The following is a 27,234-nucleotide window of genomic DNA, read 5'->3' on the forward strand; positions in this document are numbered from 1 at the left end:
AATCCCATCTATGGGGGCTCTGCCCTCATGACCTAATCACCTCCCAAGGGCCCCTCCTGTTAGTACCATCACCTTGGAGATGGGGTTTCAACATATGAATTATGGAGGGATGCAAACATTTAGACTAAACAGTTGGCTTCCCACACAGTGTGCCTCTGGGAGAGAAGTGTAATCTGCACCCCGACATTCCTGCGGATGGAGTCATCAGTCTCTTGCATGGTGGTGCTGACAGGATCGCTCACCTCCAGGCTCTCAGCAGTGATCCTGTGACGCAAGGGCTGGCCCTGCACTGGGGTTGATCTTCCCACTTCCAGGCCCCCTTTTCAGGCCTCCTGGGAACCAGCCACCCCCAGCCCCCCACTCCTGTTGAACCCCAGCCATAATCCCAACCCTGATCTTCCTCTCTGGATTTCAAAGCTTCATCCATGCTGAGCTGCAAGGGGAATGGACAGAACTGGAAACTGGGGCAGACTGGAGTTGCCAGCCTAGGCTGGGCTGTGAGCTCCATAGAGCAGATGCCGGGCCATCCTGCCCCGGCTCTAAGCCCAGCCCCAGGCCAGGGCCGGCACCTGGTAGGCTCTTCATGAGTGCTTCCTGAATGAATGCTGCAGAATGAAAATCCACCCAGAGGAGGCCAGGCCTGAACTGGGCCCGGAAGGATCTGAGTGGATTGAAGTATGTGGAGGAGGGTCAGGAAGCAAAAACATTCCAGAATGAGGGCATGGGGGCTTCCCATCAAAAATGAAGGCACAGAGGTAGGAAGAGTGGGATGTGTGCAGAGGACCAGAAGGAGGTTGGCTCAGTGGAGGCTGAGAGAGGATGCTGGGAAACACAGGCAGTCATAAGGTAGGGCCCGATGGTGGGGGCCTGAGGCCCAGCAAGGGGCTGAGCTCTGATGCTCCGGGCAATGGGAGCCATGCTGGGTTCCTGAGTGGGAAAGACACAGGATGAAAGTGATATTCCAGAGTCATCAGCCCAGCTGGCTGGGCTGACAGGTGCCAGGGGAGGAGTGGGTGTGGGGTCAGGGGTGGTGGCACAAGAAACTTGGGCTGGGTAGGCACCTAGGAGGCTACCGAGTCACCTGGGCATGGGGTCATGGGACCGTCCACCATGGTGGGAAATGAAGACATTAGGAGAGGCGTGTGGAGATATATACAAAAAGATTGCTGCAGCATCATTTGTATCAGCAAAAAAACAGAAACAAGGAAAAGGAAGAGCCCCTATGTCCAACAGTAGGAAAATGGATAAACAGGCAGCCGCATATTGATACGACGGAACACAGCAGGGAGAATGAGTGGCGTACATCTGCATGCCTCGACATCAACAAATCTCAAAAACGAAGAAAGGAAAAAAACAAGGTTTAGCAGGGTCTAGGCTGCGCTGTTCAATGTGGTAGCCACTAGCTACACACGGCTATTTAAACTTCAACTAAAATTCAAAATGCAATTCTTCAGTCACACTAGCTGCATTTCAAGTGCTCAAAAGCCATGTGCCGTCTGTGGCTGCTGTATTGGACGGCAGACAGAGAACATTTCCAGCATCACAGAGAGTTCTGTTGGACAACACTGATGTTTTGAAACACGTAAAACAACATTACCTATTGTGTATGGATACAGAAGAGGCTCACAGGGTTTCCATGAACAGGTGTCGCCTCAGTTGGCGGCGGAGCTGACAGCGGGATGGTGTTGAGGGGTGGTCAGGGTGGTGGGAACAGGGGAGGCAAGGCTGTAGCTCCGAATACAAAAGGGCAGAGGCAGGGAGCCGCTCGACAATCCAGGAAGTGCCAGGGACTGCGATGGGGATGGGAGACACTTCTAGTCTCTGTGAGGATCCCAGACATAAGCCCTGTAATGACAGCAAAGACTAGCCTTTAGGTGGGGCCATTCCCAAATTGTCCACCTCATGATGACTTCCCAACAAGGCTGGGCAAAAGGAGTCTTGGAAAGGGTCAGACCTGCCCAGGTGGTTGGTCCATGACAAGCTGCAGACCTCACATCTAGGACTTGCCTCAAACAAAGTGAGGGCTAAGGAGAAGGGCAGAGAAGCAGAAGCAGAGAAACCAGAGGAGGAGCAATACCACAATTCAGGTCGAGACCACAGAAGCAATTCAGGAGAGAGGGAGAAGAAAAGGAGGCGGGGTGGGCGCAGCTGTCTCAGAAATACAGGTGTGAGGCCGGGCATGGTGGCTCACATCTGTAATCCCAGCACCCTTGGGAGCCCAAGGCAGGAGAATCACTTGAGCCCAGGAGTTCCAGATCAGCCTGCAAAACCCCATCTCTTCAAAAAATACAAAAATTAGTTGGGTGTGGTACACACCTGTAGTCCCAGCCATTTGGGAAGCTCAGGCAGGAGAATTGCTTGAGCTGGGGAGGACAAGGCTGCAGTGAGCTGAGACTGCACGGAAGCACTCCAGCCCAGGTGACAGAGCAAAACCCTGCCAAAAGAGCAAAGAAAGAAAGAACAAACCACTCTCACTCTCACTCTCACTCTGCCTCTCCCTCTCCCCACGGTCTCCCTCTCCCTCTCTTTCCACGGTCTCCCTCTGATGCCGAGCCGAAGCTGGACTGTACTGCCGCCATCTCTGCTCACTGCAACCTCCCTGCCTGATTCTCCTGCCTCAGCCTGCCGAGTGCCTGCAATTGCAGGCGCGCGCCGCCACGCCTGACTGGTTTTAGTATTTCTTTGGTGGAGACGGGGTTTCACTGTGTTGGCCGGGCTAGTCTCCAGCTCCTAACCGCGAGTGATCTGCCAGCCTCGGCCTCCCGAGGTGCCGGGATTGCAGATGGAGTCTCATTCACTCAGTGCTCAATGTTGCCCAGGCTGGAGTGCAGTGGCGTGATCTCAGCTCGCTACAACCTCCACTTCCCAGCTGCCTGCCTTGGCCCCCCAAAGTGCCGAGATTGCAGCCTCTGCCCGGCTGCCACCCCGTCTGGGAAGTGAGGAGCATCTCTGCCTGGCCACCCATCGTCTGGGATGTGAGGAGCCCCTCTGCCTGGCTGCCCAGTCTGGGAAGTGAGGAGCGCCTCTTCCCAGCCGCCATCCCGTCTAGGAAGTGAGGAGCGTCTCTGCCCGGCCGCCCATTGTCTGAGATGTGGGGAGCGCCTCTGCCCCGCCGCCCAGTCTGGGATGTGAGGAGCGCCTCTGCCCAGCCACGACCCCGTCTGGGAGGTGAGGAGCGTCTCTGCCCGGCAGCCGCCCCGTCTGAGAAGTGAGGAGCCCCTCCGCCCGGCAGCCGCCCCGTCTGGGAAGTGAGGAGCGTCTCCGCCCGGCCAGCCGCCCCGTCCGGGAGGGAGGTGGGGGGCAGCCACCGCCCGGCCAGCCGCCCCGTCCGGGAGGTGGGGGGCGCCTCCGCCCGGCCGCCGCCCCATCCGGGAGGTGGGGGGCGCCTCTGCCCGGCCGCCCCTTCTGGGAAGTGAGGAGCCCCTCTGCCCCGCCGCCACCCCTTCTGGGAGGTGTACCCAACAGCTCATTGAGAACGGGCCATGATGACAATGGTGGTTTTGTCGAATAGAAAAGGGGGAAATGTGGGGAAAAGAAAGAGAGATCAGGTTGTTACTGTGTCTGTGTAGAAAGAAGTAGACATGGGAGACTCCATTTTGTTCTGTACTAAGAAAAATTCTTCTGCCTTGGGATGCTGTTGATCTATGACCTTACCCCCAACCCGGTGCTCTCTGAAACATGTGCTGTGTCCACTCAGGGTTAAATGGATTAAGGGCGGTGCAAGATGTGCTTTGTTAAACAGATGCTTGAAGGCAGCATGCTCGTTAAGAGTCATCACCACTCCCTAATCTCAAGTACCCAGGGACACAAACACTGCGGAAGACCCCAGGGTCCTCTGCCTAGGAAAACCAGAGACCTTTGTTCACTTGTTTATCTGCTGACCTTCCCTCCACTATTGTCCTATGACCCTGCCAAATCCCCCTCTGCGAGAAACACCCAAGAATGATCAATTAAAAAAAGAAAAAAAAGAAAAAGAAAAAACACCCTAGAGAAAGAACATAGCACTAGTCCCAGCATGGTGACTCATGCCTGTAATCCCACACTTTGGGAGGCTGAGGCAGGAGGGTAACTTGAGCCCAGAAGTTCAAGACCAGCCTGGGCAACATAGCAAAACCCCATCTCTATAATTTTTTTTTAAAAAATTAGCTGGGCATAATGATGAATGTCTCTAATCCTGCCTAACTGGGAGGCTGAGCCCAGGAGTTGAAGGCTGCAGTGAGCCATGATCACACCCCTGTACTCTAGCCTGGGTAACAGAGTGAAATCTCGTCTCAAAAACAAAATGAAACACAAACCACATAGCACCTTTGGCTACAGAGGATTCTATCAGATACAATACCACCGAAATAAGCAGGCAATAAAAAATTATAAAACACAAAAGGATATCCTCTAGTATGAGAATTAATAGACACAATAGGATGGCTAAAACCAAGAATTTCAGATAAAACAAAATCTAAAAAAACAATATAAAAGTAAGCCTAGGACAATTTAAAAATAAAGAGAACTGTTTAAAACTAGAGAGAAAGACTTTGAAAAAAATATTTAAAGTTACTAAAGGTATGCCTAGAAACAAATCACTGAAATTTACAATTCAATCATTTTGTAACCACCAGGTCATCAGAAGTTAGAAAAAATGGCAATAACAAGTGTTGCTAAGGATATGGAGCAATGAGAACTCACTTCACACACTCCTGGCTAGGGGTGCGATTTGGAAAAACACGCATCACCTAGTAAGTTGAAGGTGCCCATAACCTCTTATCCCCGCACAATTCTGCTTTTGTGCATTTAGATAAATACCCTAGAGACTCTTGCCCTTGTGTAGTAAGAGCTGCACAAGAATTTTTATAAAAGTGTAATCATTCAGAACTGGCTTCAGCACTAAAGAAGAAAGGTATAATCAACAAGAAATTTTAAAGAATGTAGTATAGTCACACAATGCAATACTGTATAGCAAGGGAAAAGAATAAAGATACCAATTTGGATGCATCTCAGGAATAAAAAAAAAAAAAAAGAACAAACCAAAGAAAGAGAGAGAAAGAAAAAAGAGAGAAAAAGAAAACAGAAAGAAGGAAACAGTGAGAGAGAGAAAGAGGAGAAAAAGAAGGAAAGAATGAAAGGAAGGAAGGAAAAGAAGAAAGAGAAAGAGAGAAAGAAGGAAGGAAGGGCCGGGAGCGGTGGCTCACGCCTGTAATCCCAGCACTTTGGGAGGCTGAGGCAGGCAGATCACAAGGTCAGGAGATTGAGACCACAGTGAAACCCCGTCTCTACTAAAAATACAAAAAATTAGCCGGGTGTGGTGGCTGGCGCCTGTAGTCCCAGCTACTCGGAGAGGCTGAGGCAGGAGAATGGCGTGAACCCAGGAGGTGGAGGTTGCAGGAGCCAAGATCGCGCCCCTGCACTCCGGCCTGGGCGACAGAGCGAGACTCTGTCTCAAAAAAAAAAAAGAAAAAGAAAGAAAGAAAGAAAAGAGGAAGGAAGGAAGGAAGGAAAAGAAAAGAAAGAGAAGAGCCAGGCGCAGTGGCTCACGCCTGTAATCCCAGCACTTTGGGAGGCCGAGGCGTGCGGATCACGAGGTCAAGAGATAGAGGCCATCCTGGCCAACATGGTGAAATCCTGTCTGTCACTAAAAATACAAAAATTAGCTGGACATGGTCATGTGCGCCTGTAGTCCTAGCTACTCGGGAGGCTGAGGCAGGAGAATCGCTTGAACCCGGGAGGTGGAGGTTGCAGTGGGCCAAGATCACACCACTGCACTGCAGCCTGGTGACAGAGTGAGACTCCATCTCAAAAAAAAAAAAAAAAAAAAAAGGAAAGAAAGAAAGAGAAAGAAAATAAAGAAAGAAAAAGGGAAGGAGGGAGGGAGAAGGGGAAGTCCAAGACAGGTGTGAAAACCCGAGAAGGGGTCAGTTTCCAGGTGAGGGGTCAGCCTGGGTGCAGGGGAAGAGGCACCTGCCTAGTGGGCGTAAGGAATGGAGGGCTGGTACTTTCTTCTCCATGACCCCCTTGCTCAGAACGACCTATTTTCAGCATTTTGTGCAGACTGGCTTCCATCCATGCACCTTAGGCATTGTTCTCTGATGCTATCTGAGGCACTTGTCTGTCCTTTAAAATAGTCTCTGCATTTTTCAGATGACTGCTACCCCTGGTTTGGAGTTTGCTGTGATAGAACTAAAGTAAAATTTCTTAGTGACTCCACTGTTGCCGTGCCATCAAGCATCTGGGACTGGAAAAGCCGGGTTGCTCGGGTGGTTTGGATTCAGTGCCGCTGATCTTTTGTTTCCATGAGAACACAGAATGTGGCCAACCAGCAATCTGGTCTGACCTTGATGCCTAAATTCTAATGAAAGAGCAAGTTGAACTATAATGGTGAGAATGGAAACTAAGAACATTCTATCCAAAATGTTTGAGAAAGCCTTGTGACCAAAGGTGAGTGACTCAGAGTTTCTCTAAGACCCTGAAATGGGTGATAACGTCATGTCTAACCTTGGGAATTGGCTGAGTAAATCTCAGTACAGCTGCTCTATGGAAGGTGTGCAAACCTTGTAAGTGGTGGTTATAAAGATATGGAGCAAGTTGGAGAAATTATTTATAATAAATTATCTGGGGAAAAAAGTCAGGACTCAATATGGTGCAGGTGCGGTTGTTTCATTAAGGCAAGAAGATGCTAAGATTGCTTCTCAAACTGTCAGTGGTGATTGACCAGTTTGATTTTATAAAATTTCCAATCCATCCCAAATGTAAAGTTTTGTAAAATATCGTAAAAATAAATGATTAAATGTATATCCATCAAAGGACTTGTATCTAAAATACATAAAGAACTCTCAAAACTCAACAGAAAAAAAATCCAAATAGAACTAGAAGACACGAACAGACAGTCCACCAAAGAGGATATGTGGGTTGCAGAAAACACAGGAAAAGATGTTCAAAATCATTACCTATTAGGAAAATGAATGTCCATTTCCTGGTTTGGGTATTGTATTATTGTTATATAAGATGTCATCATTGGAAGAATCTGGGTAAACAGCTCATGGGATTTTACGTACTTTTTTCGTGATTTCCTGTGAGTCTATTATTATTTCAAAATAAAAAGTTATCAGGCCAGGCTTGGTGGCTCATGCCTGTAATCCCAGCTCTTTGGGAGGCTAAGACGGTGCAGGTGCAGATCACCTGAGGTCAGGAGTTCGAGAACAGACTAGCCAACATGGTGAAACCCCGTCTCTACTAAAAATACAAAAATTAGCTGGGCGTGGTGTTACACCCCTGTAATCCTAGCTACTCGGGAGGCTGAGGCAGGAGAATTGCTTGAACCGGGGAGGCAGAGGTTGCAGTGAGCAGAGATTGTGACACTGCACTCTAGCCTGGGTGACAGAGCGAGACTTGGTCTCAAAAAAAAATAATAAAATAAATAAATAATAAAAATGAAATGAAAAGCAGATACATGAAATACAAGCCCAACTTTTAAATCATAGATTCAACAGGCAGAAAACAACCATGTCCAATTGCTGTAAGAGTTTCTAAACATTTACTCTCATTTTCTGGGCCTGTTGTGCTGAAAAACAGTGGCGAATCTCTGGCAGACCAGCACCGGGCCGTGGACCACACTTTGAGTGGCTGTGGACCACCTGCTCAGACGAGAAGCAAATGCCAGAGATGGAATTATTTTTTTTTCCTTTTTGGCTTATTTTTTTGTTATGGAGTTATACTGCTGTTCAAAATAAAACTTGATTTAAAATATACAGAAATAATAATACAGAAGAAAATCTATTTTCCCCAAGTCTGGGTTTATGGATAAAACACACCGTCTACTCTGATGCTGCCTTCTCTTTCTCCCTCTCACCCTCCCCTAACTTCACCTCTTCCATTCCTCTCTCTCCTCCATGTGCTTGCCTTAACTGCCCTCTTTTCCTAGTGGCAGGTCCCTGGCTCTGGTCCCACCACTTTGTCACTATTCCAGACCCTCCCCGACCTATACTGGGGAAATCACTTACCTTTCTGAGCATCAGTCTCCTTATGCGGGGTGACAGTGAGACTCACCTTGGAGAGCTATCCTGTGAGGAGTGGGTGAGGTCACTCAAATGGGAGAAGCTCTGTGAACCACGTATAAGTGTGCACACGCAGAGTGGACTCTGTCTGCACACCTGGGTCCCCACATGCGCTGGCTGGCTCTGGTCAGCCTCCCAGTCTTCATTCCCATCTCACCCAACCCTCTCAGGCAAGCCAGGTGTCTCTGCTTCCAACCAAATGCCCTTCCCAGGAGGCCTCCCCAGCCCACATCCTGGCAACACTCAACCAGTGCCCCTGTCCCTCAGAGAGGGGTGTGTCCTCCCTTTCTACCTAGGAGCTCTCCCAGGCCAAGGCAGTCCTCCCCAGGGTAAAAGCCAAGTCAGGTTGCTGTATTTTTTTTCTTTGCTATAGCCTCAGGCTATGCAAACTTTTCCACCTGTTATATATAACAGGTGGAAGATATATAATAACAAATACAGTAAGTTCTCACTTAAGTTGCTGATAGACTCTTGGAAACTGCAACTTTAAGGGAAACAAAACCAATTTTACCATAGGCTAATTGATATAAATGAATAGAATTCCTGTGACATATTTCTGGTGACAAAAACATCACCAAACTTCTAAAGATCAAAACACTTCTAATATTAAACACTGAAATGAATGTAAGCTATACATACATTTAAGAAAAATTAAGAAAAACAAGATAATTAGGCCAGGTGCACTGGCTTACGCCTGTAATCCCAGCACTTTGCAAGGCCCAGGTGGGTGGATCACCTGAGGTCAGGAGTTCGAGACCGGCCTGGCCATCTTGGTGAAACCTCATCTCTACTAAAAATACAAAAGTTAGCTGACTGTGGTGGTGGGCACCTGTAATCCAGCTACTCAGGAGGCTGAGGCACAAGAATCACTTGAACCCAGGAGGTGGCGGTTGCAGTGAGCTGAGATTGTGCCACTGCACTCCAGCCTGGGTGACAGAGCGAGACACTCTCTCGAAAGAAAGAAAGAAAGAGAGAGAGAGAGAGAGAGAAAGAAAAAAGAAAGAAAGAGAAAGAAAGAAGAAAGAAAGAAAAACAAGATAATTATTTACCCAATTATTCCAGTTCAGGGTCGTGGGTGGCTGGAGCCCATCCTGGCAGCTCAGGATGCCAGGTGGGAACCTACCCTGGACAGGACATGGTGCTCACACACCCACACTCACTCGTGCTGGGACCATGCAGACTCACCAATGAGCCTAGCGTGCACAGCTTTGGGACATGGGAGAAAACCCACGCAGACGTGGGGAGAATGCAAACACCACGCAGACAGTGGCCCCTGCAGGAATCGAATTTTTCTCTTACCAATGTCATGACAAAAAGACATGGAATGAAATGACGTTATTCAAGGACCTGCTGTATGTGAATACTGGCTAACTCAATGAGCACTTACTATGTTCCAGGGATGATCACAGGCCCTACCCATGTACTAACTCATTTAATGCTCACAACCATCCTAGGAGGTAGGTTCTGTTCTAAGCCCCAGTGTACAGATGTGGAAACAGGCCAGTGAGCAGAGAAATCACCTGCCCCAGGCCACCCAGCCGGTAAGCCCCACACTCTCATCCACAACACTGCCTGTGGTTGCTGGTTGGTTTCCTGCTGTTGTTCACCCAGCTCAGCGCCTGGCACAATGAGAGGCTCTGTAAGCCTTTGTTGAGTGAATGAATGCTGCCCATTGTCCTGCATCTACGGAGCTGTTTTCCTTGCTATTGAAGGGGCATGACTGGAGGCAGAGGCCACAGAGATGACCACACCAGGGCAACCTGTAGTGCCAGTGCCTGGTTCCACCCGGGGGGCATCTGAGAACTGTGTCCTTCCATTCCTGAGTCCAGCACTTCCCAGGCCAGGTCAGCACTTTAATTCCTTGGGAAGTCTGTTTTTATTTTATTTTATTCATTTTAATGTTTTAAAAGTTTTTAGAAATAGAGAAAGGGTCTCACTTTGTTGCCTAGGCTGGTCTCAAAGTTCTGGGCTCAAGCAATCGCCCACCTCCACCTTCCAAAGTGCTGGGATTACAAGCCTGAGCCACCACGCCCAGCTCTGTGTTTCTTTCTTTTTTTTTTTCCTTCCTTCCTCCTTCCCTCCTTCCTCCCTCCCTCCTTCCCTCCTTCCTCCCTCCCTCCTTCCTCCCTCCTTTCCTTACTGTCTCCCTTTCTCTCTCGCTCTCTCTCTCTCCCCTTCCTTCCCTTCCTTCTCTCCCTTCCCACCCTCCCTTCCCTTTCTTTCTTTCCTTTTTTGTTTTTGTTTTTGTTTTTGAAACAGAGTCTCACTCTGTCACCCGGGCTGGAGTGCAGTGGCGCGATCTCGGCTCACTGCAACCTCCGCCTCCTGGGTTCAAGCGATTATTCTGCCTCAGCCTCCCAAGTAGCTGGGACTACAGGCGTGTGCCACTACGCCCAGCTAATTTTTGGATTTTTAGTAGAGACAGGGTTTCACCATGTTGGTTGGCCAGGATGGTCTCAATCTCTTGACCTCGTGATCCACCCCCAAAGTACTGGGATTACAGGTGTGAGCCACCGCACCCAGCCTTATTTTCTTTTTCTCTCTCTCCTCTCTTCTCTCTCTCTCTCTTCCTCTCTTTCTTTCTTCTCACTGGAGTCTTGCTCTGTCGCCCAGGCTGGAATGCAGTGGCGTGATCTCTGCAACCTCCGCCTCCCGGGTTCAAGTGATTCTCCTGCCTCAGCCTGCCAAGTAACTGGGCCTACAGGCACACACCACCACACCTGGCTAATTTTTGTATTTTTTGTGAAGATGGGGTTTCGTCATGTTGGCCAGGCTGGTTTCCAATTCCTGACCTCAGGTGATCCGCCCACCTTGGCCTCCTAAAGTGCTAGGATTACAGGCTTGAGCCACCGCGCCCGGTCACTAAGTCCCCTTATTTCTATCTCAAGCCTAAGTTGTCAGGAACTCACTGAGTTCTCCCGTCTATGGAGGAAAGAGATCCATCTCACAGCTTTGCCACCTGAACACCCTGGGACAGCTGCCCAGGGGTCTGGGCTGTAGTCTAATCTGGTCAGTCTTCTTTCCTCCACTTGGATTTTTCTCAAATAGCGTCCCTTTCTCCCCAGACTAACCCATTTTCCTGAATTCTTCCGATTCTTTTCCACATCTTGTTCCCCTCTACCCCCTAAGTCTTCCTTCTCCCCTTTTCAGCTACCCATTTATTTGCATATTCATTGTAAATACAGTTATTTGAAGTCTTTTTCAGATTGTTCTATTATCTCAAGTTTCAGGGTCAGAAATTCTCCTATTGTGATGTATGCTGTCTGTCTGTTGCTCATGGTGACTCAGTTCCTGATGCATTTGATACTTTCTGATTGTGAGCTAAAGTTGGATATTTTTTTTTTTTCTCATGGTGGCTCAAGTGGCCTGGGTTGTAAAGGCTCCCTCCAGACACGATTTTTCCTTTGTCACCGTACTCCTGGCCAATGTAAGAATTCCTGTTTTTGTGGTGGTGGTTGTTACTGTGGTAAAATATAGAACATAAAATTTACCATCTTACCCATGTTTATGTGTCCAGTTCAGTGGCATTAAGTATGGACTTTCACAGCATTGTCACCATCACCACCGTCCATCAACAGAACTTGTTCCTCTTCCCAAACCAAACCTCTACACCACTAAACACTAACTCCCCATTCTCTCCTTCCTCCAGCCCCCGGCAATCACCATTCTATTTTCTGTCTCTATAAATTTGCCTACTCTAGCTAGGTACTGCATATAAGTGGGATCATGTAAGATTTGTTCTTTTGTGTCTGGCTTAGTTCACTTAGCCTAATGTCTTCAAAGTTCATCCATGTTGTAATATGTGTCAGAATTTCCTTCCTTTTTAAGGCAAAATAATAGTCCATTGTATATGTGATCGTACATTTTGTGTATACTACACTATTAGTTCATTCATTGATGAACATTTGGGTTGTTTCCACCTTTTAGCTATTGTGACTAATGCTACTATCAACACCGGTGTACAAATATATTTGTTTGAGTCCCTGCTTTTTTTTTTTTTAAGATGGAGTTTCGCTCTTGTCGCCCAGGCTGGAGAGCAATGGCACGATCTCGGCTCACCGCAACCTCCACTTCCTGGGTTCAAGCGATTCTCCTGCCTCAGCCTCCTGAGTAGCTGGGATTACAGGCATGTGCCACCACACCCGGCTAATTTTGCGCTTTTGGCAAAGACAGGGTTTCTCCATGTTGGTCAGGCTGGTCTCGAACTCCTGACCTCAGGTGATCCGCCCGCCTCGGCCTCCCAAAATGCTGTGATTACAGGCTTGAGCCACCGTGCCCGGCCAAGTCCCTGCTTTTAACTCTTTCGCGTATATACCCAGAAGTGAAATTTCTGGCTCATATGGTAATTCTGTGTTTAATTTTTTGAGGCACCGTCACACTGTCTTCCACAGTGGCTGCACCTTTTACATTCCCAGAAGCAATGTACAAGGGTTTCAATTTCTCCATATCCTTGTCAACACTTGCTATTTTCTGTTTTGTTTTGTTTCTTAATAATAGCCATCCTAATGAGTGTGAAGTGGTATTTCACTGTATTTCCCTAATGGTAAGTGATGTCGATCATCTTTTCATGTGCTAATTGGCCACTTGTATATCTTCTCTGGAGAAATGTCTTTTCGACAATGAATAATTGCATGAATAATTGCATAAATGAACAATGAATTTTCAAGTCCTTTGCCTATTTAATCAAATTTTTTTTTCTTGAGACAGGCTCTCCCTCTGTTGCCCAGGCTGGAGTCTGGAGTGCAGTGGTGTGATCTCGGCTCTCTGCAGCCTTGACCTCCCAGGCCCAAGCAATTTTCCCACCTCAGCCTTCCTAGTAGCTGGGACTACAGGTGCATGCCACCATGCCCAGCTGATTTTTGTATTTTTTGTAGAGATGAGGTTTCACCTTGTTGCCCAGGCTGATCTTGAACTTGTGGTCTCAAGCGATCGGCCCGCCTTAGCCTCCCAAACTGCTGGGATTACAAAGTGCTGAGCCACTGAATCGACTTCAAATTGTTTTGTTGTTGTTGTTGTTGTTGAGTTGTAGGAGTTTTAAAAATATATCCTAGATATTGGCCAGGTGTGGTGGTTCATGCCTGTAATCTCAGCACTTTAGGAGGCCAAGGCGGGCAGATTACTTGAGGTCAGGAGTTTGAGACCAGCCTGGCCAACATGGCGAAATCTTGTCTCTACTAAAAATACAAAACTTAGCCAGGCATGGTGGCGCATGTCTGACGTCCCAGCCTACTTGGGAGGCTGAGGTGGGAGAACCACTTGAACCCGGGAGGCGGAGGTTGCAGTAGCCAAGATTGCGCGAGTGCACTCCAGCCTGGGTGACAGAGCGAGACCCTGTCTCAAAAACAACAACAAAAAACCCACAAAATATATATCCTAGATATTAATCCCTTATCAGATACATGATTTGCAAATATTTTTTCCCAGTTCATGGGAAATTGTGTCTTTTTTTTTTTTTTCTTTTGAGACTCCGTCACCCAGGCTGGAATGCGGTGACTGGATCTTGACTCACTGCAACCTCTGCCTCCCAGGTTCAAGCAATTCTCCTGCCTCAGCCTCCTGAGTAGCTGGGACTACAGGCGCCTGCCACCACACCCAGCTAATTTTTGTATTTTTAGTAGAGACGGGGTTTCACCATGTTGGCCAGGCTGGTCTCGAACTCTTGACCTCAAGTGATCCACCCACCTTGGCCTCTCAAAGTGCTGGGATTACAGGCATGAGCCACTACACTCTGCCCCCGAAAGTTCTTAATTTTAATGAAGTCCAATTTATTTTTGTTTTGTTGCCTATGCTTTTGGTGTCATATCCAAGAAATCCTTGCCACATCCAATGCCAAGAAGTCCCCCTTATATTTTCTTCTAAGAGTTTTGTAGTTTTAGCTTTTATGTTTAGGTATTTAATCCATTTTGGAGTTAATTTTTTAATATACTTACGGTAAAGATTCAACTTCATTATTTCGCATGTGGACATTCCAGTTTTCTAAGTCTTCTTTAAAAGACTTGCCTTTCCCTCGTTGAACGGTCTTGGTACCCTTGTCTAAAATCATTTGACCATATGTGTAAGAGTTTATTTCTGGGCTATTCTATTCCATTAGTCTAAATGTCTGTCTTTATACTAATACCACACTATTTTAATTATTGTAGATTTGTGGTTACATATTAAAATCAGAAACTGTAAGACTTCCAATTTTGTTCTTTTTCAAGATTGTTTTGACTATTTGGGGTCCTTTGAGATTCCATATAAATTTTAGGATGGATTTTTCTGTTTCTATAAAAATATTATGATTTGCATTTCAATAGGGATTGCATTGAATCTGTAGATTGCTTCAGGCAACATTGACACCTTAGCAATATCAAGTCTTCTAATCCATGAATATAGGATGACTTTCCATTTATTTGTGTCTTCTTTCACTTTGTTTGTCAACACTTGTGATTTTCAGCGTACAAGTCTTTTGCTTCCTTGGTTAAGTTTATTGCTAAGGGCCAGGCGCAGTGGCTCACACCTGTAATCCCAGCACTTTGGGAGACCGAGGCGGGCGGATCACGAGGTCAAGAGATCAAGACCATTTGGCCAACATGGTGAAACCCCATCTCTACTAAAAATACAAAAATTTGCCGGGCATGGTAGCAGCTATGGTGGGCAGCATGGTGGGCAAGTAGTCCCAGCTACTTGGGAGGCTGAGGCAGGAGAATCACTTGAACCCAGGAGGCAGAGGTTGCAGTGAGCCAAGATCATGCCACTGCACTCCAGCCTGGGTGACAGAGCGAGACTCCATCTCAAAAAAAAAAAAAAAGTTTATTGGTAAGAATTTTATTCTTTTTATTCTTTTTCATTGCTTTTATAAATGAAATTGTTTTCTTAATTTCCTTTTTGGATTTTTCATTATTAGTGTATAGAAACAACTAATTTCTATGTGTTAATTTTGTATCCTGCAACTTTGCTGACTTTATTAATTCTAATAAGTGTGTGTGTGTGTGTATGTGTGTGTAATCCATCTTGGTTTTGTTTTTATTTTTACTTGGAGACTCAGGCAGGGACAGGTTTTCTTGTCATCTTCCAAAGCCTGTGGGTAGACTTTTTCTAGGTCCCTATTCATTGAAGAAGCAGGCTTCAAGGATCCCAGCTGTCCTCAAGAGTACTGGTTCCAGCTTCCTGCTTCATGAACCGGTCATGGCCCCTGCAAGGTCAAGGTCATTATAATGCCAGCACCTGACTGCTAAGGCTATTTCCCTTCCAATACCTTCCCCTCAGAGCTCCTGGTGCATCAGCTCATTCAACCTTCTGCTTTTCTGCTCTCTCTTGATTTAAGAAACAGACACATTATATTTCTACATAGTTAGAGCACAGGGGTCCCAGCATCCCACTTCCAAATGAGCATGTCAAGCACATGCATTCAGAGAGGATACCTGGAAGCCAAAATTTTGCCATAGTGAAAGGCCTTATTCCTGAATACAGCTAGAGTGGGGAAGACCTTGGCCTCTCCCCCCGCAGGCAAGAATGTTGCCTCCACAGGGGGCTGGTAGCCTGCTAAGGCCCAGGCCACATGAGTGGGTTGTCTACTGTTACTGAGGGCCTACTATGTGCCAGACACCATACTAGGTGCTTTACATACATTATATGTCATTGAATCTTCCCTCTAGTCCTGTGAGATAGGTACTATTATTGTCACTGATTCACTTGAGAAAGCTGCCAAAACACAGATAGCAAGGGGCAGAACCAGGATTCTGATTTAGGTTGGCTCAGCCTTTTATCAAATACATCTGGTCTTCCTCTGTCCTTTCAAAAGCCTATAGCTTCCTCATCTTGCCCACTCCTCTGTGGGTAGGGTCTGTGGTTTCCTTTCTCTTATCTATCTTCAACACACAGTGGGTGTGACCTGGGTGCAACCAGTCACAGCTCTGCAGAGGTTACTGTGATTTTGCCCCTGAAGGATCTGTCCACAACTTAGGAACTCACACAGCTTTTGGCCTGAGCCCCCGTTACCAAGAGAAAGGAGGTTTTTGCCAAGGACTCCAAGGGGAGTGCACTTGATGCTGGTCGGGACCCAAAGCGCCCAGCCCTCCCTGAGACATTGTGTGAGTCGGGCTGGGCCTCAAACACGGCCCCCACTGCCCCACCCCAGCCAGGGTGGTGCTTGTGTGGGAAGGACTTTAAATCCAGCTGCCAGACCCCTGGACGGGAGAAGGAGAGACGGCTGGCCACCATGCACGGCTCCTGCAGTTTCCTGATGCTTCTGCTGCCGCTACTGCTACTGCTGGTGGCCACCACAGGCCCCGTTGGAGCCCTCACAGATGAGGAGAAACGTTTGATGGTGGAGCTGCACAACCTCTACCGGGCCCAGGTATCCCCGACGGCCTCAGACATGCTGCACATGGTAAGTGTGGCCACGGCCCTTGCTGGCTGGGATGGAAGGGGTGCTGGCCAGGGTCTGTCACCAGGCTCTCTTACCCTGCTCCTCATGCTGAAGCTATTTCAGAATTCCTCTCCTTTTTCTGGTCAGTGACAGAGTCCCCGAGTCCCTGACATGGTATTACATTACTTTAAATGGCAAAAACCACAATTACTTTTGCACCCGCCTAATAAAATTCACAGGCCCCTATAAGCAGCCTCATAATACAGATAAGGAAAGTGAGGCTCAGAGGGATTTGTTGGGGTCACACAGCTGGTAGAGCCAGACCCAAAGCCCTGGCTTCCCACTCCAATGAGCTTTCCCCAGCACTTCCTCAAATGCATGTGCCCTCAGTGGGGGAACCCGGGAAGTTCTTAACACCTTTGTGAAAACGGTCTTTCACATGCCTGCCAAGGAGAGGACAAGAGGAAGCAGGGCAGCAGGATGGGCGTGGGCACGTGGAGTAGGAGGCAGGTGCTAAGGAGGTGGGTGACAGCAGGATCCAGAAGCAGAGAGGGCTCTGGATCACACAGTCCAAATTCTGTCTCGGTCACCTACAAGACCTATGATTCGAGGCAAGTCCTGTAACCTTGCCGATCCCGTGTCTCATCTGTAAAAGGCGGTCAGAATTAGAGCTACGTATATACCAGTGTGGATTGAATCTCACAGATATCATACTGAATGGGGGAGGAAATAAAATCTCTAAAAAATACACAGTAGGATCTCTTTACATGAAGTCTGAAAACATGTAAAAATACTATTTATGTCCTGGTGAAACACGCAGATGTAGTAAACATTACATGTACATGCACACAGGAGACAGAAGCCAGATTTAGGGTTGGTTACTTCTGTCAGGAAGAGCTATTTATGGTAGGGTGAGAGGCGGGCTGTCTATATGCAGAATTAAAGGAGATAAAGTGAGAAATTCACCCACTTCCTGCCCTCCCTGAGGGCTGAACTAGCTTGTCCCCTCCAGCCACCCTCAGGTGACTGGGGAGGTTGCTGGGCAGTGTTCAGGGACCCCTGGAGCTGGTGCCTGAGAGAACAGATGCACCTTGGGGAACATAACAGTGAGCCTGGGGCCCCAAACCTAAGTTCTAACCTCAGCCTAATGTGATCTGGCTGAAGTAACTCTGGGTGGACCCCTTTCCCTTCAAAGGCCTCTGTTTCCAGATGGAAACATGGGGCTGGCGATCCCTGCCCTGGGCGTCAGACAGGATGACACGTAAGAAAGATCTAGGAAGAGCTCTGCACACACCCAGCACTGCCGTTCACAGCTGTGCCAGCCTGCACATCGAGGAAAGGTGGACAACAAACCAGGCGTCACAGATGCAGCTCTGCCAACAGCTCCCTGATTGAGGCCTGTGACTCATTGTTGGACTTCAGTTTCCCCACCTGTAGATCCCTGATGCCCTACAGTCTTGCTGGCTGAGACTGGGGGCCACACAGGCTGGGAGCTGCTTCTCAGACAGAGGTGCGCCTTGGAGTGGGGCAACATTCTGGGAGGCAGTTGGGATACTGAGGGGATATGCTGCTGCCTAATGGGGAGTGACATGAGGAGGAGGAGATGAGGCTGGGGCTGGGATGCCAGGAAACATTCAGGACAAGACTCAGGTTCAACCTCAGCAGTGGTGAGGGCAGGGACTCTGCAGCCAAATGGCCTGGGTTCAAATCTTAGCTTTGTTACTTATTAGCTTTGTGACCTTGGCCAAATTAAACTCTCTGTGCCTCAGTCTCCTCATCTGTAAAATGGGGATGATAACAGTGGGATAATTCCCTTGTAGCTACAGTGGTTGTAGGGTTAAGTGAGTGAATATGTGTAAAGCACTCAGAAGAATGCCTGGCACACAGTAAGTGCTCAGTAAGTGTCTGATTAACACAAAAGAGGGAATGGATCCAGGGTGAGGCAGGTGGGGGTTATCATGAACTCTTCCTTCTCTCTCAGCCTCCAGAGCTAATCAGCACCAGTTTTGCCACCCCGAAGGTTCAATTGTCCTTGAAATCTAACCCTTACCCCTACCCCCTTCTCTTTTCAGCACAATCCTGGTTCAGGTTTCTTTCATTCTTCCACACAAGGACTCCTAGGATAGCCTCTACCTGTTCCCCAGCTTCTGGCCTCTGCTGTCAGAATGAATAATCCAACACATGGGCCTGACCCTGCTCAAAATCCTTCAGTGGCTCCCATGGCTCCCTACTGCTTCAGGTTAAAGCTCCAGCTCCTGACTGAGAAGGTTCTGTGTGTTCTGGCCCCTGCCTATCTCTCCATCCTCCTCTCCCGCTTGCCCTTTATTCTTCTGTCACCTGAACAGCTTGTCTTTTCCCAGCCAAAATGTTTCCCAGCTTCATGCCTTTGCTGATGTGTACCTTCTGATTAGGATGCCTCTCCCCTCCAGCTGACTAATGCCTCATCTTTTAACACTTAGCTTGGTGTCTCCCTCTCCACCTTTGGCTGGGCTAGATGGCCCTCTTTGGTGCCTCTATAGTACTTGTGGCACATCTGTCATTTACCATGTGGTGGCCCAAATGACTTTTATGTCAATGGAAATTTGGGCTTCTTGGTTCCTGCTGTTGTCCCAGGGCTGACACAATGCCCAGGACTGTTGAATGAATGAATGAATGGACTTGCTTCTAGATGGTGACCATGTGGCCAATGTGGGTGGGTGCTGAGAGTCTTACAAACTCCACAGGGGGCTCTGGATGACTGACTGAGAATCCTTAAGACCAAAGCAATGATGCTAATGGTGGGGCTCCAGATATCTAGTCAGAATGGAAATTACAGCCAGGCTCTGTAGGGGTAGACTGCTTTAAGAAGGGCCCTGTCTCAGTCATCAATAGTTGACAAGTATCTGTTGAGCACCTACTATGTGCCAGCACTGCGCCAGACACTGGGGATCCATCCATGCCCTACCGTGATGGCACTTACAGTCCAGCCCGGCACCTCGCAGGTGATCTCAGACACCCTGACCCTGGCCCCCAGCGCCCTGCCCCTTTCCCACTCCCAGTCTCCCACTGTTGCCAGAGTTGAGAGAATCTCAGGGGCCAGTGATTTGGGACAAAAATGTCCAGAGAGGGAAAGATACTCACCCAAGGTCACAGCTGTGGAGCTATCCCAGCCAGGTGCACCCATCCCCATGCCAGGCAGCGGCTCCTGAAAGCCTTGAGTGGGTGGGGAGTAGGTGTGGCCACACAGCCACCTCCCCTCAGGGTCACCCAAGCTCTTGGCGCTTTATGGGCTGTCTGGCTCCCAGAGCTGGCTGGGCCCTCATAGGGTGGAGCAAGAGCTGCCGCCAGGCCATGGATTTCCAGGAGAAGCCAAGGACAGCGTTTAATGGGATCCAGGTTTCCCCTCCTCAATCCTTTGGGTCGGATGCCTTGTTAATCCCTCTTCCCACCCACACTCGGCCTGTCCTCTCAGCCAGGGACACAATCGCAAAGGCCCCGAACCTAAAATTCCCCCTCTCACCATCTCACCTGAGGTCCCCACTGGAGAACACTGTCACTGGGGTCTGACAGTGGGTTACCAAGGCTCTGAAAGTAGGCCCCTTGGTGAGAGGCCTGTGACATTCAGTGTCACATAGAGACGCTTAATTTTCTTGGAGAAAGGGGGTTGCCGTTGACAAGGGTTGGGAGCAGTTAGGAACAGCACTGGGGCGGGAGCCTGCAGAGGGTAAAGGCATGGGGGCTGGGTGACCCAAGGGGAGGGTGGGGGCTTAGAGGGAGAGGAAGGTGCCGGCCCTCAAGTCAGGTTCATGGTTGAGGGGTAGGGAAATGGGCTGAATAAACAACCCAGCCCCTCAACATCGATCACACCGTGATCTTGTGCTCTTCAGAGAAGTTCAAGGAGGACTGGGAGGTAGGCAGGGGCATGTATGGCCACCTTTTTCACATGAGGCTTTTAATAATAACACTGTCACCAACACCACCTCATCCACTCTTCCCAGCCCTCTGAGGGTGCGGAAAGTTTAGACAATCCGTGCAGTCACACAGCTGGTGAATGGTCCAGCTCCACGGCCTGGGGTGGCATCCTTCACCGCCCCACAGACGCCCACCCAGAGCAGAGACCTGTTCTAGGCCATGCCCAAGAGTCACCCTGCTAAGGAGGTGCCGGAAGGATTTCCCCACGACCTCCTCGACCTTTTGCTTGGTCCCCACAGCATCTGTGGGCATCCTCACCTCCCTTCTCTCACCTGCCCTGCAGAGATGGGACGAGGAGCTGGCCGCCTTCGCCAAGGCCTACGCACGGCAGTGCGTGTGGGGCCACAACAAGGAGCGCGGGCGCCGCGGCGAGAATCTGTTCGCCATCACAGACGAGGGCATGGACGTGCCGCTGGCCATGGAGGAGTGGCACCACGAGCGTGAGCACTACAACCTCAGCGCCGCCACCTGCAGCCCAGGCCAGATGTGCGGCCACTACACGCAGGTGTGGGCCCGGCGGGCGAGGCGGGGCGGAGCCTCGCGGCGTGGGGGTGGGGCCACGTGCTCCCTGGGCGGGGCCACCTCTGCCTTCACCCCTCCTAAGCGTCCTCGCTGCAAGTAGGCGGGCTTCACTCCAAGCCCCCTCAGACACTTTGCAAATCTTGTCCTCTCACTGCAGCTAATACGCTGTCTAAGACTCTGACGGAGTCGGCTGCTCCTAGTCTGCTAGGCCAGGCGCCGTAGCTCACCCCTGTAATCCCAGCAATTTGGGAGGCCGAGCTGGGAGGATCGCTTAAGGCCAGGAGTTGGAGACCAGCCTGGGCAACATGGCGAGATCCCTGTCCCTACAAAAAAATACAAAAAACTTTGCTGGGCGCGGTGGCGCGCGCCAGCTGCTCTGGAGGCGGAGGTGGAAGGATCACTTCAGCCCAGGAGGTTGAGGCTGCAGTGAGTCGTGATCACACCACTACACTCCAGCCTGGGCGACAGAGGGAGGCCCTGTCTCAAAAAAAAAAAAAAAAAATTAAATAAATAAATAAATAAATAAAAAGGGGTGGGGACGGTGGGACATGTTAGGTGTCACAGAGCCAATTTTATGGACCATGGTTATTGTCCTAGGCCATACTGTACTGGGCTCCAAGTGATCCTGCCTCACTTCCCCCAGATAGTGCAGAGCTGTTTGCCCCAGCAGCAGATAGTCCCTTAACTTCTCTCTGTGGCTCTTTTGCATTTATTATGGTGTCTAATTTGCTACTTCTCATCTGCCAGGGACTAATAAAGCAAATTGACAATTTTGCTTAGTTTTTCTTTTGCATTTAACAATTATGCATAACGATGAAGAACAAATTGTGGCTGAATGAAAGGCTTCAGGGAGATTTCTGATAGAATTTCCTGCTCCCCAGTCACACTTTGCTCCTGTCTGGGTTCTCACTGCATTTTGAAAGTTTGGGCTTGCAGATAAGATGTGTGTGTGTGTGTGTGTGTGTGTGTGTGTGTGTGTGTAGGGGAATTAACATTAGTGTTACTGAATTATTTTTTCTCCTCCCAGTGCTTATGTGTTGTACAAATAATAACATGACAAACAAAAGAAAAGAAACCAACCATCTTCCCACCCACATCCACCAATTCCATTTCTCAGTGTCTCTTTTTCATGGTATTTTTAGTCTTCATCTTTAGGGAGGAAATCCCAGCAGCACCCACCCAGGTCAGAAAGTTGTGAGGGCCCAGCACCCTTCCTGGCCCTTTCCCTCTGGATCCTGCCACCCCTCCCTCTCCCTCCACCCCCCCCCTCCCTCTACCCCCACCCACTTGCTCCTGCAGGGATTGTTATCAGGACCCAGCAGGGAGTGAGTCAGCCCAGCTCCACCCCAGCTTTCTCTGGGGCTGAGGGTGCATGCACTCTGGAGTCGTTTCTGCCCAGAAGGTGCTCAACACGGGGAGACCTTCAGCTGATTTCAGCAGAGATTCCTGGGCAGATTGAACCTAGAACCAGCAAGGCAAGGCTGCTGGTCTCACCCCATGGCAGCACACAAATGTTGTTGGACTTTCTGTTTGATAAAGATAGAAGTCTTTCTAGCAGTTAAGAGACCCACACTGAGAAACAACCAGAACAGGTCCTGCTCACCTGTGATTTGGGGGAAGTTCCACTTCCAAAATGGCTCCTCCTGCTCCCCTCCTTGGACTTTTCTTGTTGCTGAGGTCTAAAATTCTACCATTTGAGATTCTTTCGTTTGGATATATCCTTCACTTAAAATGCAAGGGCCTCTAGGCCTTTTTTTCTAGCCCACAGAAAAAAATTAATGAGGGTATATCACAGTCCTGGAGCTGAGGGAAGGTTTTGAGAGGAAAAGAGACCTGGCAAAGTGGTATGTGTGGTTGGCAGAGGAGAGTAGACTGTTAGGGACAAACTCCCCCATCCCTCCCCCTGGTTAGAGTTTTGTCCTGAACCTGCATGGCCTTGGGGACGTGGATGTCACAGGCTATAGGGTGCCTCTTCTCTCCACTCCTGTAAGGCAGGTGTAGTGGGATGCCAGGAAGGCACCATGCCACCTCGCATGGGGCTGAGCTGCTAGGTTTGCCCTTCATCAGGTGGTATGGGCCAAGACAGAGAGGATCGGCTGTGGTTCCCACTTCTGTGAGAAGCTCCAGGGTGTTGAGGAGACCAACATCGAATTACTGGTGTGCAACTATGAGCCTCCGTGAGTGCCGGGGGGAACCCTGGAGATGGAGAGGGGGAAGGCACAGGCAGAGCCAAGGGGAGGGCAGAGTCGGCCACAGCCTGAGGGAGTGGGAGGAGAGGGGTCAGTCTGGAGCAATACTGTCCAGGGAGCTGTGAAGGCACCAATGGGGGTCTGCTGTCATCTGCCAGAGAGGGCCAGGAGGAGCCCAAGTTCGCCCAGCAAGTCAGTGGCTGGCAGTCAGGAGACCCAAGGGCATTTCCAGAGTAGGTGTGTGTATAGGAGTTGGGGAGAGGGTTGGGAGGGGTCGACCCCCTCCCCGCAGCATCCTCCTGACCTCCTGTAGGGGGAACGTGAAGGGGAAACGGCCCTACCAGGAGGGGACTCCGTGCTCCCAATGTCCCTCTGGCTACCACTGCAAGAACTCCCTCTGTGGTGAGTCCACGGGTGGATGGGTAGGGGCAGGGGGTGTGGAAATGATGCGATGCAGACTGGATGGTCTAAGAGCCTCCCTGGACTGAGCGGGACGTGGGCAGGGAAGGAGCCTGGTGGGATGCGACCACCGGGGGCCCCTGGCGGCTCCCTTAGCCCCCCACGCGCAGCCACTTTGGCGCCCTGTCGTTCCAAGTGGCCGGATTTCAACCCTTCAAAGGGAGGATGTTAGAAAGTCTGGCGGCTTCGGGGGGGCCCGCGCGAGGTGGGTGTCGCCACACTTTAGGGTCTCGAGGAGCGGGCTGGGGCCAGACCGGTGGGCGTGGTCAGAAGGCTTCAAACGGGCGAGGCCAGTCTTGCTGGGGGCGTGTGAGGGACCGCGATCCCGCTGGAGAAGTCCCCTGAAAAAGGGCAAGTACGAATGTAGAGAGACTTGGACCAGGAGGTGGCTAGAGGAGCAACTGTGTCAATCACCAGAAGTAACGTTTCTTTTCTTTTCTTTTTTCTTTTTCTTTTTTTTGACGGAGTTTTGCTCTTGTTGCCCAGGCTAGAGTGCAATGGCTCGATCTCGGCTCACCTGCAACCTCCGCCTCCCGGTTTGAAGCAATTCTCCTGCCTCAGCCTTCCGAGTAGCTGGGACTACAGGCACGCGCCACCACGCCTGGCTAATTTTGTATTTTTAGTAGAGATGGGGTTTCTCCATGTTGGTCAGGTTGGTCTCGAACTCCTGACCTCAGGTGATCCACCTGCCTCAGTCTCCCAAAGTGCTGGGATTACAGACGTGAGCCACCGCGCCCGGCTTGTAACTTTTATTTTCAATGAGGGGCATATCAGCTGGAGAAGTGTATGTGTGTGTTTGTGTGTCCTGGTAGGACATTTGGTCGCGTCACTTGGTTTGCAGTGCCATGAGAGATGTGGGGTCCTGCTTGCAGCACTCATGCCCGTTCTCGTCTGTCTTATCAGAACCCATCGGAAGCCCGGAAGATGCTCAGGATTTGCCTTACCTGGTAACTGAGGCCCCATCCTTCCGGGCGACTGAAGCATCAGACTCTAGGAAAATGGGTACTCCTTCTTCCCTAGCAACGGGGATTCCGGCTTTCTTGGTAACAGAGGTCTCAGGCTCCCTGGCAACCAAGGCTCTGCCTGCTGTGGAAACCCAGGCCCCAACTTCCTTAGCAACGAAAGACCCGCCCTCCATGGCAACAGAGGCTCCACCTTGCGTAACAACTGAGGTCCCTTCCATTTTGGCAGCTCACAGCCTGCCCTCCTTGGATGAGGAGCCAGTTACCTTCCCCAAATCGACCCATGTTCCTATCCCAAAATCAGCAGACAAAGTGACAGACAAAACAAAAGTGCCCTCTAGGAGCCCAGAGAACTCTCTGGACCCCAAGATGTCCCTGACAGGGGCAAGGGAACTCCTACCCCATGCCCAGGAGGAGGCTGAGGCTGAGGCTGAGTTGCCTCCTTCCAGTGAGGTCTTGGCCTCAGTTTTTCCAGCCCAGGACAAGCCAGGTGAGCTGCAGGCCACACTGGACCACACGGGGCACACCTCCTCCAAGTCCCTGCCCAATTTCCCCAATACCTCTGCCACCGCTAATGCCACGGGTGGGCGTGCCCTGGCTCTGCAGTCGTCCTTGCCAGGTAAGGCCCATAGCATCTGTCCCACTTTCCTCCTGGCTCTGGAATGTCAGTATCCTGCCCCAGCATAGGTGGTATGAGCATGGTGGGGCATGCACCCTCTGAGTAGGAGCTTCCTCCCTGGCTGCTGCCCCACCTCCTTGCATGGTGGGGTGGGCGGGACATCAGGCACAGCTGTCTCTAGGCTGAGGCAAAGCCTCTTTCTTCCCACAGGTGCAGAGGGCCCTGACAAGCCTAGCGTCGTGTCAGGGCTGAACTCGGGCCCTGGTCATGTGTGGGGCCCTCTCCTGGGACTACTGCTCCTGCCTCCTCTGGTGTTGGCTGGAATCTTCTGAAGGGGATACCACTCAAAGGCAAGGCCTGGTGAGGGGGGCCCTGGCCTCATACCCACCTGGATTGTCTTCCTCCAAGTGAGAGACCACAGCTTCCTGGGCAGGTCCTGCTCTGTGGCCCAGCAGCCCCCCTTCACCCCAACTTCTGGCCAGATTCCAGGCCAGCACTCTTGTCCTCCTGGGAGGCGTCTACAGGGCCAGCCCCTGGCACTGCCCCAGGAGTGCCTTGGCTCTGGGTAGGCCCATCCTTCAGCTGGCTGCAGACTGTTCTGAGCGGTATTTACATGTGCCCACTCTCAGGTTGTCCTGTGGCCATCAGCTTCTCTCCCAGACAGAGGATCTCAGGCTTCCCAGGAACCCCCGGGCCCCTCCCAGTCCCCTGGCCTCTTCCTTGAGCCATCTGAGTCCAGGACTGTTCCCCAGAAGTGCCTCTTGCCTTCTCAGGGTGAAGAGGTCAGCTGTCCTCCTGTCATCTTCCCCACCCTGTCCCCAGCCCCTAAACAAGATACTTCTTGGTTAAGGCCCTCCGGAAGGGAAAGGCTACGGGGCATGTGCCTCATCACACCATCCATCCTGGAGGCACAAGGCCTGGCTGGCTGCGAGCTCAGGAGGCCGCCTGAGGACTGCACACCGGGCCCACACCTCTCCTGCCCCTCCCTCCTGAGTCCTGGGGGTGGGAGGATTTGAGGGAGCTCACTGCCTACCTGGCCTGGGGCTGTCTGCCCACACAGCATGTGCGCTCTCCCTGAGTGCCTGTGTAGCTGGGGATGGGGATTCCTAGGGGCAGATGAAGGACAAGCCCCACTGGAGTGGGGTTCTTTGAGTGGGGGAGGCAGGGACGAGGGAAGGAAAGTAACTCCTGACTCTCCAATAAAAACCTGTCCAACCTGTGGCAACTATTCCTTCTCTTTCTCATCCCCCTCCTCTAAAACACTCCATTTAGTGTCTCCTCTTTGGGACCCACCCTTCATTTCCTTCCTATAACTCTCGCCTCCCCCTAATCACAGGTGGCAGGCAGGAAGGGGAAGAGCCAAAGGAAGGCCAAGGGTGCTGGGCTGACTCCCCCAGCTTCAGGAGTCACCAGTGGGGCCTAGGTAGGTTTGGAGCCCAGGATCAAAGCATGGCATGCGGCCTCTTCACGGGGGCGCTGCTATCCAGGCCTGTCTGGGACACAAGGTCAGAAATGTACATCAGGCAAGGCTCTGCCAGCCCCAGGTGCTTGGAAGAGTCCTAAGAAAGGGATCTGGAGTCCCAGACCCTCCCCAGGGGAGCAAAGCAGGACTGTCCAGAGGTGCTGAGGATCAGGAAAGCACACATATGCTGGGGTAGCAGTGGTGGATGACTGAGGGTGGCTTGGGTGGTAGGGAGGGGCAGAGCAAGTCTCCAGACCACCGCTGGAAGGTGAGCAGTCAAACAGGACACCACCCAAGTCAGGCCAGGGCTGGGAACCGACCTGTAACCAAGGAGGACACTCCCCTCTTTTACTTTCTTTTTTTTTTTTGAGATAGAGTTTTGCTTTGTCGCCCAGGCTGGAGTGAAGTGATCTCGGCTCACTGCAACCTCCGCCCACCGGGTTCAAGCGATTCTCCTGCCTCAGCCTCCCGAGTAGCTGGGATTATAGGCACCTGCCAACACGCCCAGCTAATTTTTGTATTTTTAGTAGAGACGGGGTTTGGTCAACAGGTGGTCTTGAACTCCTGACCTCAGGTGATCCACCGGCCTCAGCCTCCCAAAGTGCTAGGATTACGGGTGTGAGCCACCACGCCCGGTCTACTCTATGTTTTTTCCAGCTCTATTCAGATATAACTCAC

General features: G+C 50.4%; 1 protein-coding gene across 5 annotated transcripts, besides 5 other annotated features; it reads left to right on the forward strand.

Moving 5' to 3' along the window:
• Window positions 1,280-1,870: a silencer, noted in NCBI's record as "fragment chr6:36907574-36908164 (GRCh37/hg19 assembly coordinates)". NCBI's record gives its function as "represses an EF-1alpha promoter that drives an FKBP-Casp9 reporter gene in an ReSE screen in HepG2 liver carcinoma cells {active_cell/tissue: HepG2}" and the evidence as "EXISTENCE:reporter gene assay evidence [ECO:0000049][PMID:32094911]".
• On the forward strand, window positions 9,778-26,319 carry PI16 (peptidase inhibitor 16). Of its 5 annotated transcripts, NM_001199159.2 has the most exons (8): window positions 9,778-9,886; window positions 16,162-16,413; window positions 20,627-20,848; window positions 22,933-23,042; window positions 23,368-23,456; window positions 24,417-25,094; window positions 25,305-25,444; window positions 25,868-26,319. In NM_001199159.2, exons 2-7 carry the CDS (start codon window positions 16,243-16,245, stop codon window positions 25,424-25,426), a joined length of 1,392 nt encoding a protein of 463 aa, NP_001186088.1. In that variant the 5' UTR covers window positions 9,778-9,886; window positions 16,162-16,242; the 3' UTR covers window positions 25,427-25,444; window positions 25,868-26,319. The 5 variants fall into 5 exon arrangements, with proteins under 5 accessions (NP_001186088.1, XP_011512677.1, NP_699201.2 ...); XM_011514375.4 differs by lacking the exon at window positions 9,778-9,886 and having other exon boundaries at window positions 16,220-16,413; window positions 25,724-26,319; NM_153370.3 differs by lacking the exon at window positions 9,778-9,886 and having other exon boundaries at window positions 16,220-16,413.
• Window positions 20,123-20,624: an enhancer, noted in NCBI's record as "H3K4me1 hESC enhancer chr6:36926417-36926918 (GRCh37/hg19 assembly coordinates)". NCBI's record gives its function as "activates a minimal SCP1, AML or CMV promoter by ChIP-STARR-seq in naive H9 embryonic stem cells {active_cell/tissue: H9 hESC(naive)}" and the evidence as "EXISTENCE:reporter gene assay evidence [ECO:0000049][PMID:30033119]".
• Window positions 20,625-21,124: an enhancer, noted in NCBI's record as "H3K4me1 hESC enhancer chr6:36926919-36927418 (GRCh37/hg19 assembly coordinates)". NCBI's record gives its function as "activates a minimal SCP1, AML or CMV promoter by ChIP-STARR-seq in naive H9 embryonic stem cells {active_cell/tissue: H9 hESC(naive)}" and the evidence as "EXISTENCE:reporter gene assay evidence [ECO:0000049][PMID:30033119]".
• Window positions 24,502-25,127: an enhancer, noted in NCBI's record as "H3K27ac-H3K4me1 hESC enhancer chr6:36930796-36931421 (GRCh37/hg19 assembly coordinates)". NCBI's record gives its function as "activates a minimal SCP1, AML or CMV promoter by ChIP-STARR-seq in naive H9 embryonic stem cells {active_cell/tissue: H9 hESC(naive)}" and the evidence as "EXISTENCE:reporter gene assay evidence [ECO:0000049][PMID:30033119]".
• Window positions 25,128-25,752: an enhancer, noted in NCBI's record as "H3K27ac-H3K4me1 hESC enhancer chr6:36931422-36932046 (GRCh37/hg19 assembly coordinates)". NCBI's record gives its function as "activates a minimal SCP1, AML or CMV promoter by ChIP-STARR-seq in naive H9 embryonic stem cells {active_cell/tissue: H9 hESC(naive)}" and the evidence as "EXISTENCE:reporter gene assay evidence [ECO:0000049][PMID:30033119]".
• Window positions 26,320-27,234: the final 915 nt, after the last annotated feature.

This window comes from Homo sapiens, chromosome 6 (assembly GCF_000001405.40).
Source record: "Homo sapiens chromosome 6, GRCh38.p14 Primary Assembly".
Taxonomy (NCBI): Eukaryota; Metazoa; Chordata; class Mammalia; order Primates; family Hominidae; genus Homo; species Homo sapiens.

Coding starts and splice junctions, on each gene's coding strand:
- PI16 (NM_001199159.2), top strand. CDS start 16,243: ATGCACGGCTCCTGCAGTTTCCTGATGCTTCTGCTGCCGCTACTGCTA. Junction 16,414..20,626: donor CCTCAGACATGCTGCACATG/GTAAGTGTGGCC, acceptor CCTGCCCTGCAG/AGATGGGACGAGGAGCTGGC. Junction 23,457..24,416: donor CTGCAAGAACTCCCTCTGTG/GTGAGTCCACGG, acceptor CTGTCTTATCAG/AACCCATCGGAAGCCCGGAA.